Below are 27,144 nucleotides of genomic sequence, written 5' to 3' on the forward strand. Positions count from 1 at the left end.
TCTTTTTTCTTTTTTTTTTTTTTTTTGACAGAGTTTCGCTCTTGTTGCCCAGGCTGGAGTGCAATGGCGCGATCTTGGCTCACTGTAGCCTCCGCCTACCAGGTTCAAGCGATTCTCCTGCCCCAGCCTCCAAGTAGCTGAGATTACAGGCGCCTGCCATCATGCCTAATTTTTTGTAGTTTTAGTAGGGATGGGGTTTCACCACGTTGGCCAGGCTGGTCGTGAATCCCTGACCTCAGGTGATCCACCCGCCTTGGCCTCCCAAAGTGCTGGGAGTGCAGGCATGAGCCACTGCACCGGCCCATGTTTGAGTTTTATGCAATTTATGTTGGTGACTTGTTAACAGCACCAGAGGCCCTACCTTCAAAATATATCGAGTCCAGTTGCTTTTACTCCCTCTATTCTTAGTGCCTGGTCTAGTCACCATTTCTCAGCTGCCTAGATGACAGCCACAGCTCCCAGCTCCTGCCAACCCCTCTGTCCATTCTCAACCTACAACCAGAGGGAGGCTGCTCAAGCCTGAGCCTGATCCTGTGACTCCTCTTCTTCCCACCTGCTAAATGGCTCCCCTCCCTCTCAGAGTGACTGCCAAAGGCCCCCTTACCAGCAGGCCCTGCACTAGCCCCTGTGCCGCTCCAGCGTCTCCACGGCTCCCACTGTGCTCCCACCACTGCAGCCCCACTGACCCCTCCTTGCTCCTGGAACACACCAGGCCTACTCCTGCCTCGGGACCTTTGCACTTCCTTTCCCACTGCTTGGGAAGCTTTTCCCCAGATGCCCAGTGGCTGCCTGCCTCCCTTGGCTCAAGTCTTCTCTCAAATCTCATGTTGGCAGTGATGCCTTCCTGACCACTCTGTATAAAACTGTAAACCCTAGGCTGGGCACGATGGCTCACGCCTGTAATCCCGGCACTTTGGGAGGCTGAAGTGGGCGGATCACCTGAGGTCGGGAGTTTGAGACCAGCCTGACCAACATGGAGAAACCCTGTCTCTACTAAAAATACAAAATTAGCTGGGCGTGGTGGCGCATGTCTGTAACCCCAGCTATGTGGGAGGCTGAGGCAAAAGAATCGCTTGAACTCAGGAGGCGGAGTTTGCGGTAAGCCGAGATCGTGCCATTGCATTCCAGCCTGGGCAACAAGAGCGAAACTCTGTCTCAAACAAACAAACAAACAAAAATTTTGAACCCCACCCCTCCAGTGCTTCCCCCCTCTTTCTCTGCTTCATTTTTCCCACATGACTTATCCTCAAACACACTATTTAATGTATTTATGTATTTGATGCAGTAAAGGCAGAAGTTTACCCATTGCCTAATGACCCAGGGGACTTTTTGTTTATATTTTCTTCTAATCTTATACTGTGTCCTTGTTACAAAATACAAAAGGTACAGAAGTGAATAGTAAGTTTTTCTTCATCCCAGTTTCTATGCTGTACTTTCTATGTATTTATCTTTTTGTTTTGTATTAATTCTGACATCAGCTTTGTTATAAATTAACATATAATCTTAGTAATATTAGTTCAAATTATTGTATTGCCATTACTTTACCTTTTCAGCATATGACAATTATTTGCTATTGTAAATAACACTGTGATAAACATCTTTGTGCTTGAAACTTTTCCATGTTTGGGTTATTTCTTTAAGATATATTCAAAGAAGTGGTATTCCTAGGCCAGTCCCTTGAATGGGCATTTTTGAGATTCCTTATTCATATTGCTAAATTAATTTTGTAAAAAGCCTATAAAAGGCCGGGCGCAGTGGCTCACACCTGTAATCCCAGCACTCTGGGAGGCTGAGGCAGGCGGATCACGAGGTCAGGAGATGGAGACCATCCTGGCTAACTCGGTGAAACCCCGTCTCTACTAAAAATACAAAAACATTAGCTGGGTGTGGTGGCGGGCACCTGTAGTCCCAGCTACTCGGGAGGCTGAGGCAGGAGAATGGCGTGAACCCAGGAGGCAGAGTGTGCAGTGAGCCGAGATCGCGCCACTGCACTCCAGCCTGGGCGACAGAGTGAAACTCCGTCTCAACAGCAACAATGGCCAGGCGCGGTGGCTCATGCCTCTAATCCCAGTATTTTGGGAGGCCAAGGGGGGCGGATCACCTGAGGTCAGGAGTTTAAGACCAGCCTGGCCAACACAGTGAAACCCTGTCTCTACTAAAAATACAAAAATTAGTTGGGTGTGGTGGCACACGCCTGTAATCCCAGTTACTCGGGAGGCTGAGGCAGGAGAATTGCTTGAACCCAGGAGGCGGAGGTTGCAGTGAGCCGAGGTCGTGCCATTGCACTCCAGCCTGGGTAACAAGAGTGAAACTCTGTCTCGAAACAACAACAACAACAACAGTCTATAAAAATGTGCCATTCAAGGTCAGGCATTGTGGTTCAAGGCCTGTAATCCCAGCACTTTGGGAGGCCGAGGCAGGCGGACTGCTTGAGCCCAGGAGTTCAAGACCAGCGTGCCCAACATAGTGAAATGCTGTCTCTACTAAAAATACAAAAATTAGCCGAGTGTGGTGGTAAGCGCCTGTGGTTCCAGCTACTGGGGAGGCTGAGGCATGAGAATCGCTTGAACCCAGGAGGCAGAGGTTGCAATGAGCCAAGATTGGGCTACCTCACTCCAGCCTGGGCAACAGAGCAAGACCCTGTCACACACGCACACACACACACACACACACACACATGCCATTCAAACAGCAAAATCTGAAAGATTTTGACCAATTTATTTAGTTTTTTGAAACGGAGTTTCACTCTTTTGCCCAGCCTGGAGTGAAGTGGCACGATCTCGGCTCACTGCAACCTCTGGCACCTGGGTTCAAGCTACTCTCCTGCCTCAACCTCCTGAATAGCTGGGACTATAGGCACCCACCACCACACCTGGCTAATTTTTGTGTTCTTAATAGAGACGGGTTTTGCCACGTTGGCCAGGCTGGTCTCAAACTCCTGACCTCAGGTGATCCACCTGCCTCAGCTTCCCAAAGTGCTGGGATTACAGGCGTGAGCCACTGCGCCTGGCCTGATTTTTACCAATTTTTAAAATGTACCTTTAACAGACATTTTTTTTTTCAGGCCCGCATTCTTGTGATGATAAAAGGGGCCAGAACCAATTGAGGGTTCTTTTAGAGCCTCTTCTCCAGCTACTCGGGTGGCCAAAGGTGGGGAAGAGGGGGCAGGAAGGGTCAGGGCATATGGGCCCTGAGAATCTTTTGGTTTCTGGCTCCACTTCTCTTTTGTAGGGTCTGCTGAGGCTTTGCTAGGCCCAGAGAGATACAAGCAAGGGGTTGGGGCTGTGGAGACTGGAATGGAATATAAATAAAAATCAATAATCATATGCCTAAAAGTGTTCCCTTCATGACCTTTCAGCCTTGGTCAAAGCATTTTGGGGTTTTTTTGTTTGTTTTTTATTTTTTATATTTTGTAGAGATGGGGTCTCCCTGTGTTGCCCAGGCTGGTCTCAAACTCCTGGGCTCAAATGACCCTCCCACCTTGGCCTCCCAAAGTGCTGGGATTATAGGTGTGAGCCACCGTGCCTGACTGGTCAAGGCATTTTGTATTGAAAATTTCCGTCTCAGACATAGACAGAATAATACCTAACACTTACACCATGTAAAAGGATGGACTTGGGCATTTAATGCTACTTACATGGCCAGTGATACGTAAGTCTAAAGATTTGACTACTCCAGCCGGGTGCAGTGGCTCATGCCTGTAATCCCAGCACTTTGGGAGGCTGAGGCGGGCGGATCACCCAAGGTCAGGAGTTCAAGACCAGCCTGGCCAACATGGTGAAACCCCGTCTCTACTAAAAATACAAAAAAATTAGCCAGCCATAGTGGTGGGTACCTGTAATCCCAGCTACTTGGGAGGCTGAGGCAGGAGAATCACTTGAACCCGGGAACTGGAGGTTGCAGTGAGCCAAGACCGTGCCATAGCACTCAAACCTGGGCAACAAGAACGAATCTCCGTCTCAAAAAAAGAGAAAAAAATTGTCTACTCCATTTAGTGATTAGTAATATTTCAGTGGAAAAGACCTCAACTAAGGATAATTGTTTGGATAAAAACATTTCAATTCCCATAGCAAGAAAAAAAAATTTCAATTCCCAATTCTATTGCTTCCCCATTTAAATGAAAGTACAGAAATCCATTAATTCTGTAGCACACGCCCGAGAGCAGATAATAGTCTAAAGCGTGCCTCCTAAGGAAGGGTTGTTGGTTCTTTCATTCTTCGCATTATTGAGAAAACTAAAAAATGTTAGTCTGTAAGATGATTCTGTTTTTTCCATTAGAAGAGAACAGAAGTAAATATAAGAAACAAGTAATATTTGTAGTCTCCAGAAAGGGGATGGCTTAGAAATTGGGATGAAGAAAGACTTACTCTTCACATCTGTACCTTTTGAATTTTGTAACAATGCATCTGTCAATAAAACAACAACGAAAGATGCACCTTATGTCTCCTGACACTGCCAAGAGGTCCTATCTCTATTGTCTTTGCTCTTCAACCAGGTGATCCCTTCAACCAGGTGAACAGTACAAATCCCATTAATAGGGCTCTACAAAAAAATACAAAAATTAGCCGGGCATGGTGGCACATGCCTGTAATCCCAGCTACTTGGGAGGCTGAGCTGGGAAGACTGCTTGAGCCCAGGAGGCAGAGGTTGCAGTGAGCTGAGATGGCACCACTGAACTCCAGCCTAGGCAACAGAGTGAGTCCCTGTCTCAAAAACAAGCAAACAAACAAACAAAAAACTAGTTTCACCTGTTTCTTTCTATTTGCATAATGTGACTACTAGAAAGCTTAAAATTATATATGCGGCTCACAGTATATTTCTCTTGGACAACACTGTCTGGAGTTTACGGTGAGTCCAATGTGTCCAGGGACCTAAAGCTACTAGAGTGTGGTTAGCACGTGAAGGGCAAGGGGGTTGTGGCAAGGACAGGCCTGGATATAGGCAGTGATCACAGCAGGCATGATTGCCCTTGGAGGTCATTTCAAGGGTTCAGACCTTCCTAAGGGCCATAGGAAGCTACTGGGGAGATTTCCTCAGGGCAGTGATAAGAACAGATCTGCATTTTAAAAAACACTTGGCTTCTGTAGGAAATTTGCAGGAGGGGCTGCTGCAATCACCCATAGCTGTTCTGTGCACTTAGACGAAAATCCAAATTCCTCATCTCAGCCTACAAGGCCCTTTGCATTGGACTCCAGCATCCTGCTGCCACCTCATCAAATGCCATGACCTCCTATTGTCTCTCTGAAACAGGACAGAATCTTCTCCATCTCAGGACCTTCTCACTTGTAAATTCCCTTTGCCTGGAATGCTTTTCCTTGGCTCATCTCAGAACTGGCTCTTTTAGTAACCAGAGGTATTTTTTTTTCAGCTTCTGTGTCACCTCCTCAGATAAGCCTTCTCTCACCCCCCTTCCTAAAATATCCACCTCCAGTTAATTATTTCCTTCATTGCAATTATCACTGTCTGAAATTATCTTAGGATTTATTTGTTTGCTTGTCTGTTGTCTATGTTTGTACATCAGGATATAAACTTCTGGAGAGCAAAGGCCTTGCTAGTCTAATTTGCTCTTTTGCGTGACGATGGGCGCTTTGAGGATAGAAAGGGTACAGGGAAACCTGTAGACCATGCAGGAGAAGGCCCAGGATAGAACTCTAAGGAGGGTAAGTGTGCAGGAGGTGAATGACAGAAGGAGAGCAGGCTCTGGAGACTGAAGGAGCATCCAGGCAGAAAGAGCTGCATCCTGCCACAGAGGGCCATGGAAGAAAGGGTTTCGGGAAGGAGCTCTTGGTCAATAGCAGAAAGTGATGCCTAGAGGATAAGTATAGTGTCCACTGTCTATAGTGAGTAGGGGGCATTGGTAGCCTTGGGGGAAGTTCTGTGGAGTGATGGGGTGGAAGGCAGACGGCAGTGAGCAGAAGCACAAGGAGGCGGTGGTGAAGTAGAGGGGGTGGATGTACACACCTCCACTCCTCCAGGACATGTGACAGTGGGAGATCTGGGGATGGGGCTGGAGTTGGATATAGGGCCTTTGGAGGAATTTTTTTTTTTTTTTTAATCAAATGGGAGACAGTTGAGCTGATGGGCTGAAGCTGGAAAAGTTAAAGGAAAAGGAGAGATAGGAGCTGATGGATGTCATGGAGTCTGTGAGAGGCAGGAGGGGAGGAATCAGAAGACTATAAGAGGATGGGCTTTAAATAGGAGAAGTAGGACACTGCTTCCATTATAACAGGAGAAAAGGCAGGATTTTTGTTTGTTTGTTTTGAGACTGAGTCTCACTCTGTCACCCAGGATGGAGTGCAGTGGCACAATCACAGCTCACTGCAACCCCCGCTTCCTGGGTTCAAGCGATTCTCCTGCCTCAGCCTCCTGAGTAGCTGGGATTACAGGCGTGTGCCACCACGCCTGGCTAATTTTTGTATTTTTAGCAGAGACAGGGTTTCACCGTGTTGGCCAGGCTGGTCTTGAACTCCTGACCTCAAGTGATCCACCCACCTAGGCCTCCCAAAGTACTGGGATTACAGGCGTGAGCCACTGTGCCCGGCCAGGATATTTACTCAACACTTATGACTGGCAGACAAGGAACATGGTCCCATCTCCAGAAGGCTGCAGTCTGGTTGGAGTGGCAAGACATGGCAACAAAGGAGAATAACTCAGTGTGTGATAAGCCTACAGGAAATGAGTGCTGTAGTATTTCAGAAGAGAGCAAGATTAACTCCTGATGCTGTGATCAAGGAAGTTTTCATGAGAAGTGGCATTTGATTTGGGACTTGAAAGCAGAGGAGCATTTTACTAGCTGGAAAAATAAGTGGTCAAAGAAAATAAAGGAGAAGGAGAGTGCATTTCATGTAAATGGACTGGCATGAACAAAGGAATAAAGTAATGTATTTTAATTGGTTTATCCTTTTGGCAAAGAAACAGGGACAATTTTTTTTTTTTGGTCTATACTCTGATAAAACACGGCAATTTGGAGGAAGAAAGAGACTTTAGAGATTATCTCATCATATGTCCTTTTTTTTCTAGGTATGAAAACTGAGGTGCAGAAAGAAATAACTATTGAAAGTCACAAAACTGTTAAGTGACAGAGTTGGGCTCTGGCTCACAAGTGTAGCTTCCACAATACCATTATTGTACAGGTTGTAAGGATAGAATATATTTAGTAAAACCACACCAAATTTTGTTGATTTACATCAGAAGTGCAAGGGAGTAAAGACTAGATGAATTTTTAGATGTTTTTTTAAAAAAGAAATATAGTTGTAATCCCAGCACTTTGGGAGACTGAGGCAGGAGGATTATTTGAGCCCAGGAGTTCAAGACTAGCCTGGGCAAAAAGTGAGACTTCCTCTTTACAAACAAGCAAAAAATTAGCCAGGTGTGATGGTGCATCTGTAGTCCCAGCTACTTGGAAGGCTGAGGTGGGAGGATCACTTAAGCCCATGTGGTTGAAGCTGCAGTGAGCCATATTCACGCCACTTCAGTCTGAATAACCAAGTGAGATCTTGTGTCAAAAAAGAAATACAGTTATGTTGTCATAGTGATTACAATTCCAACAAAGTTTTGCTACACAGGCATGTCATTGTAACCTACATAAATGGAGAGACAAGAATGATTTGTTATTGAGAGATTAACTGATGACTTCCTGCTATTCACCAGACTTATCCTGGTCTCCAATGTCATGGCCAAATTAAGCCCCAATTGGCCAAAAGTGAAATTGAAAAAAAAATCTATGTTAACTCAAAGTATGAATTCACAAAAGAGCAGGAGAAAGATGATGAGAAGGTATTAGTTTCCTATGGCTGCTATAACAAGTTAGCACTTTTGGGGCTTCAAACAACACAGATTTATTATTTTACAGTTCTGAAGACCAGAAGTCCAACACAGGTCTCAGTGGGCTGAATCAACTTTTGGCACAGCTACATTCCTTTCTGGAGGTTGTAGAGGAGAATTTGTTTTCTGCCTTTTCTGACTTCCAAAGACTGCCCACTTTCCTTGGCTTGTGGCCCTCCTCCTCTTCTGCTAAAGCCAGCGACATTGCACCTCCCTCAGGGAACTTTATCACCCCCCTGACCACAGCTGAAAAAGGTTCTCTGCTTTTAAGACTCATGTGATTAGACTGGGCACAGTGGCTCACGCCTGTAATCCCAGCACTTTGGGGGACTGAGGCAGGCAGATCACTTGAGGCCAGGAGCTCAAGACCAGTCTGGCGAACATAGCAAAACCCCGTCTCTACTTTAAAAACTACAAAAATTAACCAGGCAGGCCCCTATAATCCCAGCTACTAGGGAGGCTGAGGCATGAGATTCGCTTAAGCCCGGGAGGTGGAGGTTGCAGTGAGCTGAGATCGAGCCACTGCACTCCAGCCTGGGCGACAGAACAAGACTCTCATCTCAAAAAAAAAAAAAAAAAAAAAAAGACTCATGTAATTAGATTGGGAAATTGGATAATTCAGGCTTCTCTCCTTATGTCAAAGTTCTTAACCTTAAAATCACATCCATAAGGTCCCTTTGCCACAGAAAGAACAATTTCACAGGCTCTGGCATTAAGATATGGACATATTTGGGGATCCATTATTATTTTGCCTAATACAAAGAAGAAGGAGGAGGAAAAGACATACTGTGAATTATTAGAGAGATGACTTATAAATAATTAGAAAAGAAAATGAGCATCAAGAGCCAGTATAAATTCATTAAATCATAGCAGATATTTTCTTATGTAGCAGAGTTACTAGGCAAATAGATATGGGGAATGCCAGAGACAAATTGATCCTCCGGTTTTTCTCTTAGGATGTGCTTGTGGAAATATAATAGCATTTGTGTAGGGTGTCAATGCAGCACGTCTATTCACAACTCATTAAACGACTGCTGAAAACTGCGAACAGGCATAAACCTGATGAAGGTCTCCTGGTGTGTCATGGGGGTGTCTGTCCTTGGTCCATCTATCTGTAGCATGACCAGCAACCAGGATGAAGACTTGAAGGTCAGGTGTATCTGATCTGCAGGTGACACAACAGTATATAAATCTAAAGAAAATCTCAATACGCTGGGAAGATAAGATGAACACACATTAATGTTACAATAGTAAACATGAAGTCTGAAATGTCAGGGAGAAAATCAGTTGAATAAAGGAAGGATGGGACTGAATTTGGTGTCAGTTTCTGTGGAAAATTAAAAACAAGGCTGGGTACAGTGGCTCACACCAGTAATCCCAGCACTTTAGGAGGCCGAGGTGGACAGATCATCTGAGATCAGCAGTTCGAGACCAGCCTGGCCAACATAGTGAAACACTGTCTCTACTGAAAAATACAAAAAAATTACTCGGGCATAGTGGCGGGCACCTGTAGTCTCAGCTACTCGGGAGGCTGAGGCAGGAGAATCGCTTGAACTCAGGAGGCAGAGGTTCCAGTGAGCCAAGATAGCACCATTGCACTCCAGCCTGGGTGACAAAAAGAGACTCTGTTTAAAAAAAAAAAAAAAAAAGCAATTGCTGTGTCTGTGAAAGTAAAAATTATATTAAGGGCATCAATTAGCAATTTTTTTTTTGAGACAAAGTCTTTCTCTGTCCCCCAGGCTGGAGTGCAGTGGCGCGAACTCTGCTCACTGCAACCTTTGCCTCCCAGGTTCAAGAGATTCTTGTGCTTCAGCCTCCCTAGTAGCTGCGACTACAGGCATGTGCCCCTACGCCTGGCTAATTTTTGTAGTTTTAGTAGAGATGGGGTTTCACCATATTGGCCAGGCTGGTCTCGAACTCCTGACCTCAAATGATACGCCCACCTCAGCCTCCCAAAGTGCTGGGTGTGAGCCACTGTGCCCAGCCCAATAGCAATTTTTTGAGCATCTACTATGTACCAGGTACTGTGCTAAGGGGCTTTACATGTCATATATTTTCACCCTCACCAAAAAATCTATAAGGAAATAATGATTATCTCTGTTTCACAGATGAAGGTAGGATTCAGAGACGTGAAGCAACTTGTCCAAGATTACAAAATCATCTATTTATATGAACTTGGGTCTGACTCCAAAGACAAGTGTTTTCAAAAGGCCAAGGAATTGTAGTTGCATTAGAAAAAGTCAGTATCCAGCCGGGTGCAGTGGCTCACGCCTGTAATCCCAGCACTTTGGGAGGCCGAGGCGGGCAGATCACCTGAGGTCAGGAGTTAGAGACCAGCCTGACCAACATGGAGAAACCCCATCTCCACTAAAAACACAAGATTAGCCAGGTGTGGTGGTGTGTGCCTGTAATCCCAGCTACTCGGGAGGCTGAGGCAGGAGAATCACTTGAACCCGGGAGGTGGAGGTTGCAGTGAGCTGAGATCACGCCATTGCACTCCAGCCTGGGCAACAAGTGTGAAACTCCATCTAAGAAAAAAAAAAAAGTGAGTACCCAGGTCATTCTAGAAAACATCTGTGATAGATTTTCTATTTTGATCTCCTCACTTTAAGAGGGGCTTTGACAAACTTGAATGTGTTTAGAGGAGTGTGACCAGGGTTCTGAATGTTTTAGATGCTAAATCATATGAGGAGTAATTGAGTGAACTTGGTATGTTTTGCCAAAATATCTTGAGGTCAGGGTGGATAGCACAAAAACTTAATACTCCCTAAAAATATTTGAAGACAGTACAAAATTTTCTCTTCTCGAAGTAGTGCAGAGGCAATTTCGATTCAAGAGAACTTGATCATAATGATTTATGTCATGAAGTCACCATTCAAGGACAGGCTTAGTGTGAGTTTCTTGGAAGTAGCGACCAAAGTGCTTTCATCTTTGGAGTTAAATAAGTGGTGCTTGGCAAGAACAGGTGCTCAATTTGTGTCTGTTGAATGCATGAACAAGTGACTTTATCAGGGACATCATAGAAGATATTAGCAAATTAAGAAGCAAGTTAGAAGAGGTGAACTTTAGAGTTATTTCGAAGTTCGGGATTTTTCTTTGATTTTAGATTGTTGACTTGAGATAAGTAGGGGAAACAAGCTCCGGGTCTGCTGCCTTTTTTTTGCCTCATTGGTAAGTCAAAGCAAAATTCTAACAACTCTGATTGACACTAAGTTCTAATGACCTGAATATCAACATCAAAAGTATTTCATATTTGTAATACGAATAGGTTTCTTTCTAAACACGTTGACATTTTAATTGTTCCTTAAAAAAAAATTTTTTTTAGAGACAGGGTCTCACTTTGTCACCCAGGCTAAAGTGCACTGGTACCATCATAGCTCACTGCAGCCTCAAACTCCTGACCGCAACCGATCCTCCCGAATCACCGAGATTACAGGCACAAGCCACTGTGCCCGGCTGACATTTTAATTGTTCTTGAGTTGCCTCCACTATTTTTTTTTCTGTGTTCTTGCAGGGTTGATTGGCTAAATCATAGAAAAGCAAATTAAATTTGCAATCTAGCCAATTTCTGTAAACAAGCTGGCAGTATAAGGGTCCTGAGGGGGTTGTAGCTACGACAACAGCTGCCTAGAATGAAGTGGAATCTGTTTAGAGGGCTCATGTAAGAAGTGAGTCATACATTGTGGCGCAGTAAAGATGACCAGGAGGATACAGACAGGGAAGGGGATATCACAGAACTGGCCCAGAGTCAGCGTGACCTATTTTATAATCTGAAGAACTCCAATAAAGGCTACTATCCAGCTTGAATGTATTCAAAATAATGTTGAGGCCATATACATGTATATCAAAATCCTATCTTAATACAACCGAATATGTTAATATTACTTATTTGTGGTTCCAATGGAGCAGACAGCTGAATTTCTCTTAATATTTTTGCGTATCTTTTGTGCTATTTTGATGCTCAGCTATTGGACCCCTTAGTTGGATCCCATTAAGTTAGCAAGACTGCTATACTTTTAGATCCATCCCCCACATGCCAGTATTTTATACTCAGTTATTTTGAACCCCTGCCATTTAACTCTTTCAAAGTTTATTATAATATGAGACCATGTCACCATAGGCACATAGAAGTGACTTATATGTAGAGTTATTTAGCCCTTTGGAATGTGCCTCGTTGGAATTTAATCCTTTAGAATTTCCAAGTTATTTGCCATTACATTCATTCTAGCTAGCAACCACTTCCTCCTTTGTCCTGGTGCTTGAAATTTCCACTTTTAGGGTTATTGTTTAGTTTTCAGATAACTCTGTTTACTTGGGAAGAGTAATCTACTAAAGCACCTTGATAGAGTTAGTTTATCAGATTAGTTTGCCTCTCTTTCCTAGCATCCTTTGTGTATCACTCAGGGTCTCTTTAGGAAACTGATGGCATTTTCAAGCTGAATAATTGGGGATTATTTATTTATTTATTTATGTATTATTTTTTGAGGCAGAGTTTCACTCTTGTTGCCCAGGCTGGAGTGCAATGGCGGGATATCGGCTCACCGCAACCTCCACCTTCCAGGTTCGAGTGATTCTTCTGCCTCAGCCTGTGGAGTAGCTGGGATTACAGGCATGTGCCACCATGCCTGGCTAATTTTGTATTTTTAGTAGAGATGGGGTTTCTCCATGTTGGTCAGGCTGGTCTTGAACCCCTGACCTCAGGTTATCCGCCCGCCTCGGCCTCCCAAAGAGCTGGGATTACAGGTGTGAGCCACCACGCCTGGCCGTAATTGGGGAGATTTTAATAAAAGAGTTATTTAAAAAGTGTGTATGGCTTAGGAAAAGCAAGAAGGACTAGGACAGTACCCCTGGCTAGTATCAGCGAGGCTTCCTTACCACACCTGGCCCTGATAGGTAGGGAGGGCCATTGCTGGAACCTGAAGAGGTAGTTGGTAGAGGGATGAAGCAGGGAGTGAGCTGGAGAATAAATAACTGGATGTCATTCTCTTCTCTCCTTCTGTCTACTGGTAGGCTTTCTCACGAACTAAACCAAAGCAAAACCAGAGGGCAAGGAAGCCCATTGGCATAGTCCATATTGGTCAATCTCCTGGGGTGGGATAGACAGTGGATCTGGAGGGGCAAAAGGAAGAAATCTAGTGCAACCTGTAACAAAGTTGATGTTCCCAGGGCACTGTGCTTGACCTCTTTCTTACACCAACTATTCCCCCATGCCATTTCTTTCTTTCTTTTTTTTTTTTTTTTTTTTTTGAGATGGAATTTTGCTCTTGTTGCCTAGGCTGAAGTGCAATGGTGCTATCTCGGCTCACCCCATCCTCCTCCTCCCGGGTGCAAGTGATTCTCCTGCCTCAGCCTCCTGAGTAGCTGGGATTACAGGCATGCGCCACCACGCCCAGCTAATTTTGTATTTTCAGTAGAGACGGTTTCTCCATGTTGGTCAGGCTGGTCTGGAACTCCTGACCTCAGGTGATCTGCCCGCCTCAGCCTCCCAAAGTGCTGGGGTTACAGGTGTGAGCCACCGCGCTCGCCCCCCATGCCATTTCCTTTTTTTTTTTTTTTTTTGAGACTGAGTCTCGCTCTGTTGCCCAGGCTGGAGTGCAGTGGCGCGATCTCGGCTCACTGCTGCAAGCTCCACCTCCCGGGTTCACACCATTCTCCTGCCTCAGCCTCCCGAGTAGCTGGGACTACAAGCTAATCATGCCATTTCATTTATGGTTTTTACTACTCCCCTCACTCCACATGCCAAAGTCCAAATAAGTCCACCTGGTCTTTCCATACGCACTTAATCCTCAACGTGCCCTGAGCAAACTCATTAAAACTCATCATCTCTATGCCCTTTATCCAACCTGCTTCTCCTCTTGTATTCTGTATCCTAGTTAAGATATCACTATCCTGGTGCCCAAGTCAGAAATCCAAAAATTATTTCATACCGTAATCTTTCTCTTAGCCCCAATATCCAATAATCAATTCTGCTGATTTTACCTCTAAACTATTTCTCCATATAGCTACTTTTTTTCCACTCCTGCTTTTCTGGTTTAGGTCATCACTGCCTCTTATAACATGTCTCTTGGCCTCTAGTGAGTTCACTCTTGAAACAATTAGTCACATTGCTATAGAGGGTGCATTTAGAAATAAAACATATTTCATTCATTCATTTATTTGGAAGTGATATTGTGCTAAGCACTGGACATTTGGGAATGAATAGATATGTTTTCTGCATTCAGTTGTATCTTGTGGTAGAGAGACAGAAGTACAGATTGATAGGTGCAATGACAGAATTATAAACAAGGCACTTAGCTTATAATGGGGTAAAGGTGGTAGAGAAAGCAACACCTACATTTAGCCCTGAACAACTAACAGGGGTTAACCAGGTAAAAAGAAGGAGAGGAGAGACAGCCAGGGAAAGAAGTTGCAGACTATGTGTGCAAGCTGGTACAAGTTCTGGAGTGAGAGAGGGCATAAAGAACTAGAGGAATTTAAAGTAATATATTGTGTGTGAAGCAGAAAGTGTGAAATCAGTATCAGATGATGAATTTTGTTGAGGACTTTGGACTTTATCTCAAAGATTATGGAGACCCCTGGAGGACTTTAGGTTGAAGTTTGACATGATCATATTTGTGCTTTGGAGGGATTATTCTTGCAGTTATTTGGTGAATAGACTTGAAAGGGGATAAGACTAGAGGCAAATTAAATGTGAGACATGTCTTTCACCTTCTGCCATGATTGTGAGGCCTCCCCAGCCACATGGAACTGTAAGTCCATTAAACCTCTTTCTTTTGTAAAAAAAAAAAAAAAAAAAAAGACTAGAGGCAAATTAGCCAACTGTAAGGAGCTCTGACTGAACTAAGGAAGTGGCACTGGATATGGAGTAATCAGAACTATATTAAAGTGAGATTACTTATAGGACACATTAAAAGAGACTGAATTGGGAGGGTAAAGGAGTGAAAGGAACCAAGACTGATGCTTAGGACCCTAGCTTGAGCAATTGGGTGGACAGTGCTAGCATTCACTAAGGTAGGAAATTTGGAAAGATAAGGCGTTAGCAGAGTCAGGTGATTAAATTGATTTTGGACATGCTGAATTTGTGATTCCTATGGGCCATTTTCATGGAGATGAGTTGGATGGTCATGTCTAGATTTTCGATTATGATAGAAGATGAAACTTTTCAAGGAATGCCTATTGAATGAAAATAGGCTCCAGGAAGGACCAACATATAAAGCTTATTGGAAGAAAGAAAGAATAAATGTTTAGTAAACTAGGAGAAAAAGTTTTCAGTTTACTTTATCAAGCTCCGCCTCCCAGGTTCATGTCATTCTCCTGCCTCAGCCTCCTGAGTAGCTGGGACTACAGGCGCCTGCCACCACACCCAGCTAATTTTTTGTATTTTTAGTAGAGATGGGGTTTCACCGTGTTAGCCAGGATGGTCTCGATCTCCTGACCTCGTGATCCGCCCACCTCGGCTTCCCAAGGTGCTGGGATTACAGGTGTGAGCCATCGCGCCCTGCCAAGGTCCAAGTTCTCACGTTAAAATTTTTCTCTTCAACTTCATCTCAGGCCCATTCCCAACTTAACATTTTAAGCTCTGTTAGTACCAAACTGCTGCTGATCCTCCATGTATATTGGGTCTCTGTTTCTTGGATGTCCATTTACTGCTTGCTTTCAGTGTTTGCTTTGCCTGAAATACCTGTTCTTTCTCCCCATCCTCCTCCTCCCCTCCTCCTTCCCTACTTCTTTCCTCCTCCTCCTCCTTCTTCTTCTTCCTCTCCTTTCTACTTACGCTTTCTTCTTTCTTCTTCTTTTTTTTGTAGAGACAAGGTCTCACTATGTTGCCTAGGCTGGTCTTCAACTCCTGGCCTGAAGTTATCCTCTCATCTTGGACTGCCAAAGTGCTGGGATTTGGCACCACTGAGCCAAATCCCAGGCGTGAGCCACTGAGCCTGGGCTGTTCTTCCTTCTTTATAGGCTTAAAAACCTTCAAAAATTATCTCAAGATTATCCACTCCAGGAAGAACTTGAGCCTCATTGATTGAATTGGTGTACTTCTCCTCCCTTCCTATAGCATTTTCTTTATGTGTCTATCCTAGCACTTCTCACACAGTGTTGAATTCATCTGTCCACCTGGCTCATCATACAAATTGTTCCATGAGTTCAAGGATCATGCTGCATGCTGGATTCCCCCGGAAGCTGATTCTGAGATGGAGTTTAGTGTACTAAATATTTATGTGGGCCTTTGGATCATCACCTGTGAAAAGGAAGAGAAGGAAGCAGGAGTGGACCTAGGGTGAAGTGAAGCTCTGATGCAAACCTGACAACTGCCTCACCTGACACCATGAAGAGCTCTGGAGCTAGAATGGCCTTTTGTTGTTCTGAATTGGTGTGAGGTAGCTAGGTCTTTACACCCCTGCCACCACCCATTATTGGGTATGGGCCAACCAGGAAGGGGCATGACCATGAGTGATGCAGCTCTGCAGCTGAAGCAATAACTGAAGAGGCTGACAGCTGAGGGCCATCTGCTGACAGTACTCCCTGCAGCTGGGCAGCACATCCTTTCTCAAAAGGGGATCAAGGCAGTTGCATCTCCGTGTCCACCATGGACTATATATTTTTTCTTTGCATTCCTAGGGCCTCCCATAGTATATGGCACATAGTAGGCAAAACTGGAGGTCTGTAGGGCAAATTCAGCTAGTAGATGAGTATTGTTTTTTCACCCACAAAGAGATTTTTAAAAATTAGTTGTCAACATTTAAAAATAAAAAGATTTCACATTGAAATTATCATATTTTCTAGCTTTTCTTGAAAAATCAAAACATCTGGCAACACTAGATCTTTTTCTGAGATGGAGACTGTGGGCTGGAGCTGAGCCAAGGTTGTCCTCAGACAGGCTTGTGAGCTCAAGGTCTCCAGACACACACCTTCCCCAGTCCTTGAGACGTGGAGCCCTGCCTGCTGCATGCATTTACGTTACCTGTTACCTGTAGTCCTTTGAGTTTGCCACCCCTATTAGTTATTAAAGAAATGTTTATTGAACTGAGCAAACATTAACATCACTGCATTATACTTCTCAAGGGATATTCATGTACATTCATTTATTTAATCCTTAAAACAACCCTGAAAACTAGATGGTATGATCACCCCCATTTTACAGATGAGGACACTGAATCCCAGAGTGGCTCAGTGATTGCCCAAGGTCTCTAGCTGGGAAAGTGGTGGGATTATGACTTGAAATAAAATAAAATGTTTTTATTTTTAATCCTGTAATCCTCCCACTGTGACACCTGAGGGCCCTGGGATGTTACCGCTGGAGGACAATCGGGTAGACCTAGGTTTTAACTAATCTTCGCTAGGTGGGAAGAAAAAATCTTCTTAGCAAACTAAAAATACACAGCAAGAAAGAAATTGGAATATTTCTAAGTTGGCAGCAACGACTGGAAAGGAGACTATTCTTTAAGGACCTTCTTTTTTTCCAGATGGTTTCAAAGGAATAAAAAACAATTAGAGCTGCAAGGGAGAGTGGGAGACAAGACAAGGTTGGTGATCAAAGGGGAGAGCTGTGTAGGAAAATAGCAACATGGCAGCATTTCACACATAGCCACACACACTGAAAATGTGTCAACAGCGCCAGGTCATTGGTAACTGCCAAGAATAAGACTGAAATAGATTGTTAAATAAGACACAGTATTGCCGAGGCTGAGTTGTTTGCCTTCCTCAAAAGGACAAAATTCTGAGAGATGTAATGAAAGAAAATTTAACCAATTTACTAGAAATATGATGACTCCAGTGCCAGATAAGGATTATAATTTTTTTCATTACACTAAACTTGAATAGTTAAAAGGCTTTGAAAATAACACTTTTCTTCTCTACAGAGGCTTCCTTCCTTCCTTTCTTTCTTTCCTTCTTTCTTTCTCTTTCTTCCTTCCTTCTTTCTTTCTTTCTTTTTTTTGAGATGGAGTCTCGCTGTGTCCCCAGGCTGGAGTCCAGTGGCACAATCTCAGCTCACTGCAAGCTCCGCCTCCCAGGTTCACGCCATTCTCCTGCCTCGGCCTCCTGAGTTTGTTTGTTTGTTTGTTTGTTTGTTTGTTTCTCTCTTTCTCTTTCTTTTTTTTTTTTTTTTGACAGGGTCTCGTTCTGTTGTCCAGGCTGGGATGCAGCAGCACAGTCACAGCTCACTGCAGCCTCTACCTCCTGGGCTCAAGCAATCCTTCTGACTCAGCCTCCCAAGTAGCTGGGACTACAGGTGCATGTCACCATGCCTGGCTAATTATTTTATTATTTTATTTTGTAGAGATGGGGTCTCACTCTGTTACCCAGGCTGGTCTCCAGCTCCTGTGCTCAAGCAATCCTCCTGCCTTGGCCTTTCAAAGTGCTTGGATTGCAGGTGCGCTCAGTCCACATAATTTTAAATAAAGGATTTTGTTTTTTAAAAAGAAATTTCCTTTTTATTAGAAATAAAGTTCTTGGCTTCATTCTTTAAAAACAAATTTTATTGATATATAATTGTACACATTTATGGGATACTTGTGATATTTTGATATATGCATTCAATGTGTAATGATCAAATTGGGATCTCTCTCACCTCAAATAGGTATCATTTCTTTGTGTTGGGAACATTCCAAATGTTCTAGCTATTTTGAAATATATACATTATTGATAACTATAGTCACCCTGCTGTGCTATTGAATACTAGAATGTATTCTCTCTATATAACTATTTCTGTACACATTAACCAATTTCTCTTCTTCCCATCCTTACACCTCTAAAAAGCATTTTTTTTTTTTAGACAGGGTCTCACTATGTTGCCCAGGCTGGAGTGCAGTGGCACGATCTTGGCTCACTGCAGCCTCTACCTCCTGGGCTCAACCAATCCTTCCACCTCAGCCTCTTGAGTAGCTTGGGACTTCAGGAGTGCACCATACCTGGCTAATTTTTTGTAGAGATGAAGTTTCACCATGTTGCCCAGGCTGGTCTCAAACTTCTGGGCTCAAGTGATCCGCTCTCCTTGGCCTCCCAAAGTGCTGGAATTACAGCTGTGTAATCCACTGTGCCTGGACTAAAAAACAGTTAAAGTTTAATTTGTATGATTACAAAATACTTATTTCAGACAGGAGAGATTTCAAGTATATGGATATAAAGATGAAGAATATAAAATTGTATGATCATAATTTCCATCACATTGTGTAAATCATATAATGAAGTCTCAGAGGTGACTTTACTACTTTGTAATTTGAATTCACATGTAGATTTTTAAAAAGTAGAGCTTGGAAACAGTTCTTGAAAACATGATTGATATGAGTTTTTGGTGGAGGAAAGCATAGCTATTAAGTGGAAAATTACTAATAGCAATTTCCTTAGGTTTCATTAGTTGATGTAAATATAATATAGTTAGATATCTTTTACCACAGTGTAACTCTATCTATCTATCCACCTGCCTACCTGCCAATCTATCTGCCTGCCTATATTTTAGGGATACATACTCTTATGGACTGATTTGTGTTCCCTACCAAATTCATACATTGAGGCCCAAACCCTCAAAGTAACTGTATTGGAGATAAGGCCTATATGGAGGTGATTAAGGCTAAATGAGGTCAAAGGTGAATCCCTAATCTCATAGGACTGGGGTCCTTATAAAAACAGGACGAGCTAGCAGAGTGCTCTCTTTCTGTCTTCCTAAATGCACACAGAGGAAAGGCCATGTGAGAACATAGCAGGAAGGCAGCTGTCTAAAAGCCAGGAAGAGAGGCCTTACCCCAAACCACCCTCCTGGCTTCTTGATCTTCGGCTTCTAGCCTCCAGAGCTGTTGTTTCAGCTACCCACTCTGTGGTATTTTGTGATGGCGACCTGAGCAGACATATATAGCAGAAGTGGGAAGACAGGCTTTGAGGTGATAAACACCACGTTAAGATAGGGCCAAGAGTGGGACTGAAACAGAAGACAGGTGAGCATGGGGGCCCAAAACATTGCAGAGTTTTGAAGCTAAACATGATCCAGTTTCTACTAAAATTCTTTTCTTGGGGGGGATTGGTGGGGGGACAAGATCTCGTTCTGTTGTCCAGGCTGGGGTGCAGTGGTGCAATCTCGGCTCACTGCAACTTCCACCTCCCAGGTTCAAGCAATTCTCCTGCCTTAGCCTCCAGAGTAGCTGGGATTACAGGCGTGTGCCACCACACCTGGCTAATTTTTGTATTTTTGTAGAGATGGGGTTTCGCCATGTTGGCCAGGCTGGTCTCAAACTCCTAACCTCAAGCAATCCACCCGCCTCGTCCTCCCAAAGTGCTGGGGTTACAGGCGTGAGCCACTGCATCTGGCCTTAAAATTCTTCTTTAATCAAAACAACCAAAGTACACTTTGGCTCCTGTATGAGAAATAGTATGAGGCCGGGGCTGGTGGCTCACACCTGTAATCCCATCACTTTGGGAGGCCAAGGCAGGTGGATCATGAGGTCAGGAGTTCGAGATCAGCCTGGCCAATATGGTGAAACCCCATCGCTCCTAAAAATACAAAAATTAGCCGGGCGTAATGGCAGGCACATGTAGTCCCAGTTACTGGGGAGGCTGAGGCAGAAGAATCGCTTGAACCCAGGAGGCAGAGGTTGCAGTGAGCCGAGATCATGTCACTGCACTCCAGCCTGGGCAACAGAGCAAGACTCCATCTCAAAAAAAAAAAAAAAGAAAGAAATAGTATGAACAGCGACCCAGCACAAGGAGAGACCAGTTAGGAGACTGTTACCTTAGTGCAGGTGAGATATTATGGTAGCCTGGATTAGGGTGCCAAGAATTCAGAGGTGAAAAGTAAACACATTCAAGGCAAAAAAGTAGAATATCCAATACAATTTTGAAAATGAGCAAAGTTGAGGGACTCATACTACCTGATTTCAAGCCTTGGAATAAAGCTACAGTCATCAGGACAATGAATATGGGTGAGCAGATAGACACACAGTTCAATAAAATGGAGTAGAGACTTCTTATAGATTCACAAAAATATGGTCAGTTGATTTTTGAAAAAGGTACAAAGCCAATTCAATAGATAATGAATAGTGTCTTCAAAAACTGGTGTTTGAACAACTGGACATCCATGTACAAAAAAAAAAGAAAGAAAAAAATGAACCTTGACTTATACTTCACAGTTTATACAAAATTACCTCAAAATGGATAATAGACTTCAATGTAAAACATAAAGATTTTGAAGAAAATCTAGGAAAAAAATCTTAATGGGCTTGAGTTGGCAAAGATTTCCTACATATGATACCATAAGCAAGATTTATATGAGAAAATCTACCATAATTAAATGTTTGGCTTTGTCCAAGTTGCTGTTAAGAGGATAAAAAGACAAGTCATAGGGTGGGAAAAAATACCTACACATCGTATATTTGACAAAGGGTTTGAACTTAAAACACATAAAGAACTCTCAAAACTCAACTATAAGCAAGAAAAAGCCGATTGGGTACAGTGGCTCACACCTGTAATCCCAGCACTTTGGGAGGCCGAGGTGGGTGGATCACCTGAGGTCAGGAGTTCAAGACCAGCCTGGTCAACATGGTGAAACCCCATATCTACTAAAAATACAAAAATTAGCCAGGATGGTGACGCATGCCTGTAGTCCCAGCTACTTGGGAGGCTGAGGTACAAGAGTTGCTTGAACCTGGGAGGTGGAGGTTGCAGTGAGCAGAGATCACTCCACTGTACTCCAGCCTGGGTGACAGAGCAAGACTCTGTCAAAAAAAAAAAAAGTGAAGAAAAGAGAAGACAAGAAAAGAGAAGAAAAGAAAAGAGAAGAGAAGAAAGAAGAAAAGAAAGAAAGAAGAAAGAAAGAAAGAAAGAAAGAAAAGCAAATTTCGACAGTTACTTTACGAAAGAAAACGTATAGATGCTATATTAGTTCATTTTCACACTGCTGTAAAGGTGCTACCTGAGACTGGGTAATTTGTAAAGAAAAGAGGCTTAATTGACTTACTGTTCCACATGGCTGGGGAGGCCTCAGGAAATTTACAATCATGGTGGAAGGTGAAGGGGAAGCAAGGCCTGTCTTACACGGTGGCAGGAGAGAGGGCAAACAAAAAAGAACTACCAAACATTTTTAAAGCCATCAGCTCTCGTGAGAACTCCCTCACTATCATGAGAACAGTGCGGAGGAAACCACCGCCATGATCCAATCACCTCCCATCAGCTCTCTCTCCTGACATGTGGGATTACAATTCGAGATGAGATTTGGGTGGGGACACAGAGCCAAACCATATCAGATGGCAAGTAAGTGCATCAAAAAATTCCCAGTATCATTAGGCAGTAGCTGTTAGGAAAAGGCACATTACAATCACAGTGAGATATCCTATACATGTATTAGAATAACTAAAATAAAAAACAGACAAGTGACAATACCGAGTCTTGATGAAGTTGCGTAACAACTGGAATTCTCACATTGCTATGGGAATGCAAAATGGCACAGCCATTCTGAAAAAGTTTGACAGTTTCTTATAAAATTAAACATATATTTACCATATCATTCAGTCATGCCACTCCTGGCTGTTTATCCTGGAGAATTATAAGCTTATGTTCACACGAAAAGTTGTACAAGAATGTTTATAGCAGCTTTATTTGTATTTGCCCCAAAGTGAAGTGAAACAACCCAAATGTTCTTCTTTTTTTTTTTTTTTTAAGACGGAGTTTCACTCTTATTGCCCAAGCTGGAGTGTAATGGCGCAATCTCCCCTCACTGCAACTTTCACCTCCCCGGTTCAAGCCATTCTCCTGCCTCAGCTTCCCGAGTAGCTGGGATTACAGGCATGCGCCACCACGCCTAGCTAATTTTCTATTTTTAGTAAAGACTGGGTTTCTCCATGTTGGTCAGGCTTGTCTCAAGCTCCTGACCTCAGGTGATCCACTAGCCTCAGCCTCCCAAAATCCTTCTGGGATTATAGGCATGAGTCACCACACCCGGCCCAAATGTTCTTTAATGAGGAAATGGATAACCAAACTTTGGTACCCTCATGCAGTAGAATATTACTCAGCAATAGAAAGAACAAACTTTGATACATGCAACAACATTAATGAATTTCAAAGCCATTATTTTGAGTGAAAAAAGCCAAATTCCGAAGTTTGCATACCGTGTGATTCAATTTATATATCATCCTGTACAAGCTGAAGATACAGAGATAGAGAATAGACCAGTAGTTTTCCATGGTCGGTTGTATGTGTGTGTGTGTGGACGTGGAGGGGTGTTTGACTAAAAACAGTCTGAGGAAGTTTGGGGAAGTAACGGAACTTTTTTGTATCTTGATTATGGTTTTGGTTATATGTCTTGTCAACCTGAAATAATCAAAAGGATCAGAATCCAGTTTTTAAAAGTTTATTCAAGAGAAAAGCTGGGAATGGTCATCCAGCAGATATGGATGTCAGAGAAGTGGGGATCAGTGCTCCAGAATCAAAACTTCACATCAGCCAGGCACAGTGGCTCACGCCTGTAATCCTAGCACTTTGGGAGGCTGAGGCCGGCAGATCACGAGGTCAGGAGTTCGAGACCAGCCTGACCAACCTGGTGAAACCCCATCTCTACTAAAAATACAAAAATTAGCCGGGCATGGTGGCAGGTAGCTGTAATCCCAGCTACTCTGGAGGCTGAGGCAGGAGAATCGCTTGAACCTGGGAGGCGGAGGTTGCAGTGAGCTGGGATCTCACCACTGCACTCCATCCTGGGTGACAGAGCAAGACTCCATCTCAAAAAAAAATTATATAAATAAATAAATAAATAAAACTTAACGTCTTTCATATATAGGCCCAAAACAAAGAAATTTAGTAGGATTACAATTTTTTTATATAAGCCTGGTTTATCAGTGACAACAATTTAATTAGTTACAGTTTTTTTTAATATGCTTATTTTTTTCTTTCCTATTGAAAAGTACGTATTTAACATTCAATCCTAGACAATGTGACAGTCATGAAGTCTTTATGTGAGAAAGGCAAGAAGAAAGTTAATCTATAATGAAGATCAACAGTGAAGAGAAATGAGGTCTGCCCTGGTGCACTTAAGTCATTCACAACATTTTACAAAACAATGTAAGTAAGGAAAAAGGCTCATCTATAATTAGAGAAACAAAGGTTACAGCTGCCTAAGTTATAGCTGTCTGTTTACATGACTCAGTTCCCATAATCACATTCTCTTAAGGTTCAAAATATTACCAGCTTAGATTTTTGAATTACTTATTTTCATAGTCTCTATGCCTTTGTCAAAACTCTTGGAATTATATATCAACAAAGTAAATTTTATTGTATATAAATTAAAAATATAATTTTAAATAGTAAAAAGATGGCTTTAGGTTGAAAATCACACAAATGCAGTAAGCTGGGAGGAGAGGATCTAACCCCTCTGCCCCTTGCCCTAGTGAAAACTACAATTCTTTTAGAAAAGAATACAGATACCTAATCAAGTGCATGCTGTTGGCAAGACTATGTAGTAGGGGACATAAAAGGGTCTGGGCTGGAGAAAGCAAAGAATAATTAGAGAGGACAGTTAAGTAAGATTCAAATGTGTGAAAGGGATACAAGTGGCCTGCTTGAATTCTTGAGTTCTTCCTGAATTGCTCAAATTGGGTTTACTTGTGTTGGTGATACCTAGCTAGTTCTCTTGGTCAAGAATAGACTAAGTGGAGGCCGAGCACGGTGGCTCATGCCTGTAATCCCAGCACTTTGGAAGGCCCAGACGGGCAGATCACGAGGTCAGGAGATTGAGACCATCATGGCTAACATGGTGAAAACCTGTCTCTACTAAAAATACAAAAAAATTAGCCAGGTGTGGTGGCGGGCGCCTGTAGTCCCAGCCACTCTGGAGGCTGAGGCAGGAGAATGGCGTGAACCCAGGAAGCGGAGCTTGCAGTGAACCGTGATAGCGCCACTGCACTCCAGCCTGGGCGACAGTGCGAGACTCCATCTCAAAAAAAAAAAAAAAAAAAACAATAGACTAAGTGGAATAAAAGTTTCTCTGAAGTCCTAATATTGCATAACCACTCCCTTGTCCCCTCTTCCTTGTTCATGAGTAAGGGAGGATGGGTCCATCAGGCAAGAGTCTCTGGTATTTTTTTTTATTTTTTTTTGAGACAGAGTTTCGCTCTTGTGGTCCAGGCTGGAGTGCAATGGCACAATCTCAGCTCACTGCAATCTCCACCTCCCGGGGTTGAAGCGATTCTCCTGCCTCAGCCTCCCAAGTAGCTGGGACTACAGGAATGAGCCACCACGCCCAGCTAATTTTGTATTTTTAGTAGAGATGAGGTTTCTCCATGTTGGTCAGCCTGGTCTTGAACTACCGACCTCAGGTCATCCGCTGGCCTCAGCCTCCCAAAGAGCTGGGGTTACAGGCATGAGCCACCGTGCCCAGTGAGTCTCTGGTATTTTTTGTTTGTTTGTTTGTTTTTGTTTTTGTTTTTGAGACAGAGTCTTGCTCTGTCGCCCAGGCTGGAGTGCAGTGGCGCGATCTCTGCTCGCTGCAAGCTCTGCCTCCTGGGTGCACGCCATTCTCGGGCCTCAGCCTCCCAAGTAGCTGGGACTACAGGTGCCCGCCACCATGCCCAGATAATTTTTTTTTTTTTTGTATTTTTGGTAGAGACGGGGTTTCACCATGTTAGCCAGGATGGTCTCAATCTCCTGACCTCGTGATCCACCTGCCTTGGCCTCCCAAAGTGCTGGGATTACAGTCGTGAGCCACCGCGCCCAGCCCAAGTCTCTGGTATTTTTATACCAAGATTTCTTTTAGACTTTTAGCCACTTTTAATACTGTGCACTCCACTGGGACATTTGCAAATTAATACACTTATTCTTTAGGGACACATTAAACTATAGCAAACAAACAAACAAGAAAACCCAAACCCAGTTATCCACTTTTTCAGTTAAGATTAGTTAGAACCAAAAGTATATGATAAATTTTAAAAACACACCCCAAATTATGAATACAAGTATTAGAAGATAAATAAAATAAAAATCAAGCAACCTTACTAGACTCTCATATAGGCCCTCCTTCATAAATACACAACTTACGGCTTTTGATCACAAATCCTTTAAGGAAGGAATACTGGTTTTCCAAAATCCAATGGAGGGAGAAATGAAGCTAAAAATGAGTGTTCTCAAAAAATAACAAATAATAAGCCCGGGCATGGTGGCTCACACCTGTAATCCCAGCACTTTGGGAGGCTGAAGCGGGCGGATCACAAGATCAGGAGGTCAAGACCAGCCTGGCCAACATGGTGAAACCCCGTCTCTACTAAAAAATACAAAAAAAGTAGCCCAGCATGGCGGCGAGCGCCTGTAGTCCCAGCTACTCGGGAGGCTGAGGCAGGAGAATAGTGTGAACCAGGGAGGCGGAGCTTGCAGTGAGCCGAGATCACCCCACTTCACTCCAGCCTTGGCAACAGAGTGATTCTCCGTCTCAAAAAAAACAAGAAAAAATAAAATCATCAAGTGAAATTCATTTATTTATAAAGAATATTTATTGATTTCCCACCTAACATTATTAGTTAAGTTTCCAGTTTTTCTTCCTGACAGGAAAAGCAGCTATTCTGGGTTGTTGATTCAATTCCTTTGCAGTGTAATGCTTACTAATTGGCAAAGTTGGGGGTAAGATGGATATTCTTTTGTGAAAGTTAAGGAACCTGATGATGACATACACATTTTATCTTTTTTTAAAAAAGAAGATCTCACTCTATTGCCCAGGCTAGAGTGCAGTACTGTGATACACTCCAGCCTGGGCAATAGAGCTCTGAGGTTATAGTTTGCTGTAACCTCAAACTCCTGCACTCAAGCAATCCTATTGCCTCAGCCTCCTGAGTAGCTGGGACTACAGGCATGTGTTATCAGGACTAACTAATTGTTTAAAAATGTTTTATAAAGACCGAGTCTTGCTTTGTTGCCCAGGCTGGTCTTGAACTCTTGGCTTCTAATGATCCTTCTACCTCAGGGTCTCAAAGCACTGGGATTACAGACATGAGCTACTGCACCTGGCCGTGTTTTTAACTAGAGGGTGGAATGTATAAACACCCTTGAGTATGACCCAGTTTTTTCTAATGCAGTACTTTCATGTTTGTTTTTATATACAGGTGCATTTATAGGTGGTCCAACCTTCCCCATTCACCTCATGGAGTAAGGGTGGCTGATATCTACTGTGTGCTCCACCCCTCTGCTTTCATGTCTTTGCTCCCCACTGCCAGAATCCTTTTAAATGTAGTGCTGCAGGCAGCCAACAGCAACAACTCAGTGTATTAGTTTTCCAGGGCTGCCATAACAAAATACCATAGACTGGGAGGCTTAAACAACAGAGATTTATTTTTCCCAGCTCTGGAGGCTGGAAGT

At 43.3% G+C, this 27,144-nt stretch overlaps 1 long non-coding RNA gene across 1 annotated transcript in view, besides 2 other annotated features; it reads left to right on the top strand.

Moving 5' to 3' along the window:
• TLE1-DT (TLE1 divergent transcript) overlaps nucleotides 1-16,592 on the top strand; it is an 87,188-nt gene extending 70,596 nt beyond the window's left edge. The window contains exon 4 of the long non-coding RNA NR_109772.1: nucleotides 15,630-16,592. This is a non-coding gene — a long non-coding RNA (TLE1 divergent transcript). The remainder of the gene's footprint in view (nucleotides 1-15,629) is intronic.
• Nucleotides 198-699: an enhancer, noted in NCBI's record as "H3K4me1 hESC enhancer chr9:84375421-84375922 (GRCh37/hg19 assembly coordinates)". NCBI's record gives its function as "activates a minimal SCP1, AML or CMV promoter by ChIP-STARR-seq in primed H9 embryonic stem cells {active_cell/tissue: H9 hESC(primed)}" and the evidence as "EXISTENCE:reporter gene assay evidence [ECO:0000049][PMID:30033119]".
• Nucleotides 23,571-24,083: an enhancer, noted in NCBI's record as "NANOG hESC enhancer chr9:84398794-84399306 (GRCh37/hg19 assembly coordinates)". NCBI's record gives its function as "activates a minimal SCP1, AML or CMV promoter by ChIP-STARR-seq in primed H9 embryonic stem cells {active_cell/tissue: H9 hESC(primed)}" and the evidence as "EXISTENCE:reporter gene assay evidence [ECO:0000049][PMID:30033119]".

Source organism: Homo sapiens, chromosome 9 (genome assembly GCF_000001405.40).
Source record: "Homo sapiens chromosome 9, GRCh38.p14 Primary Assembly".
Taxonomy (NCBI): domain Eukaryota; kingdom Metazoa; phylum Chordata; class Mammalia; order Primates; family Hominidae; genus Homo; species Homo sapiens.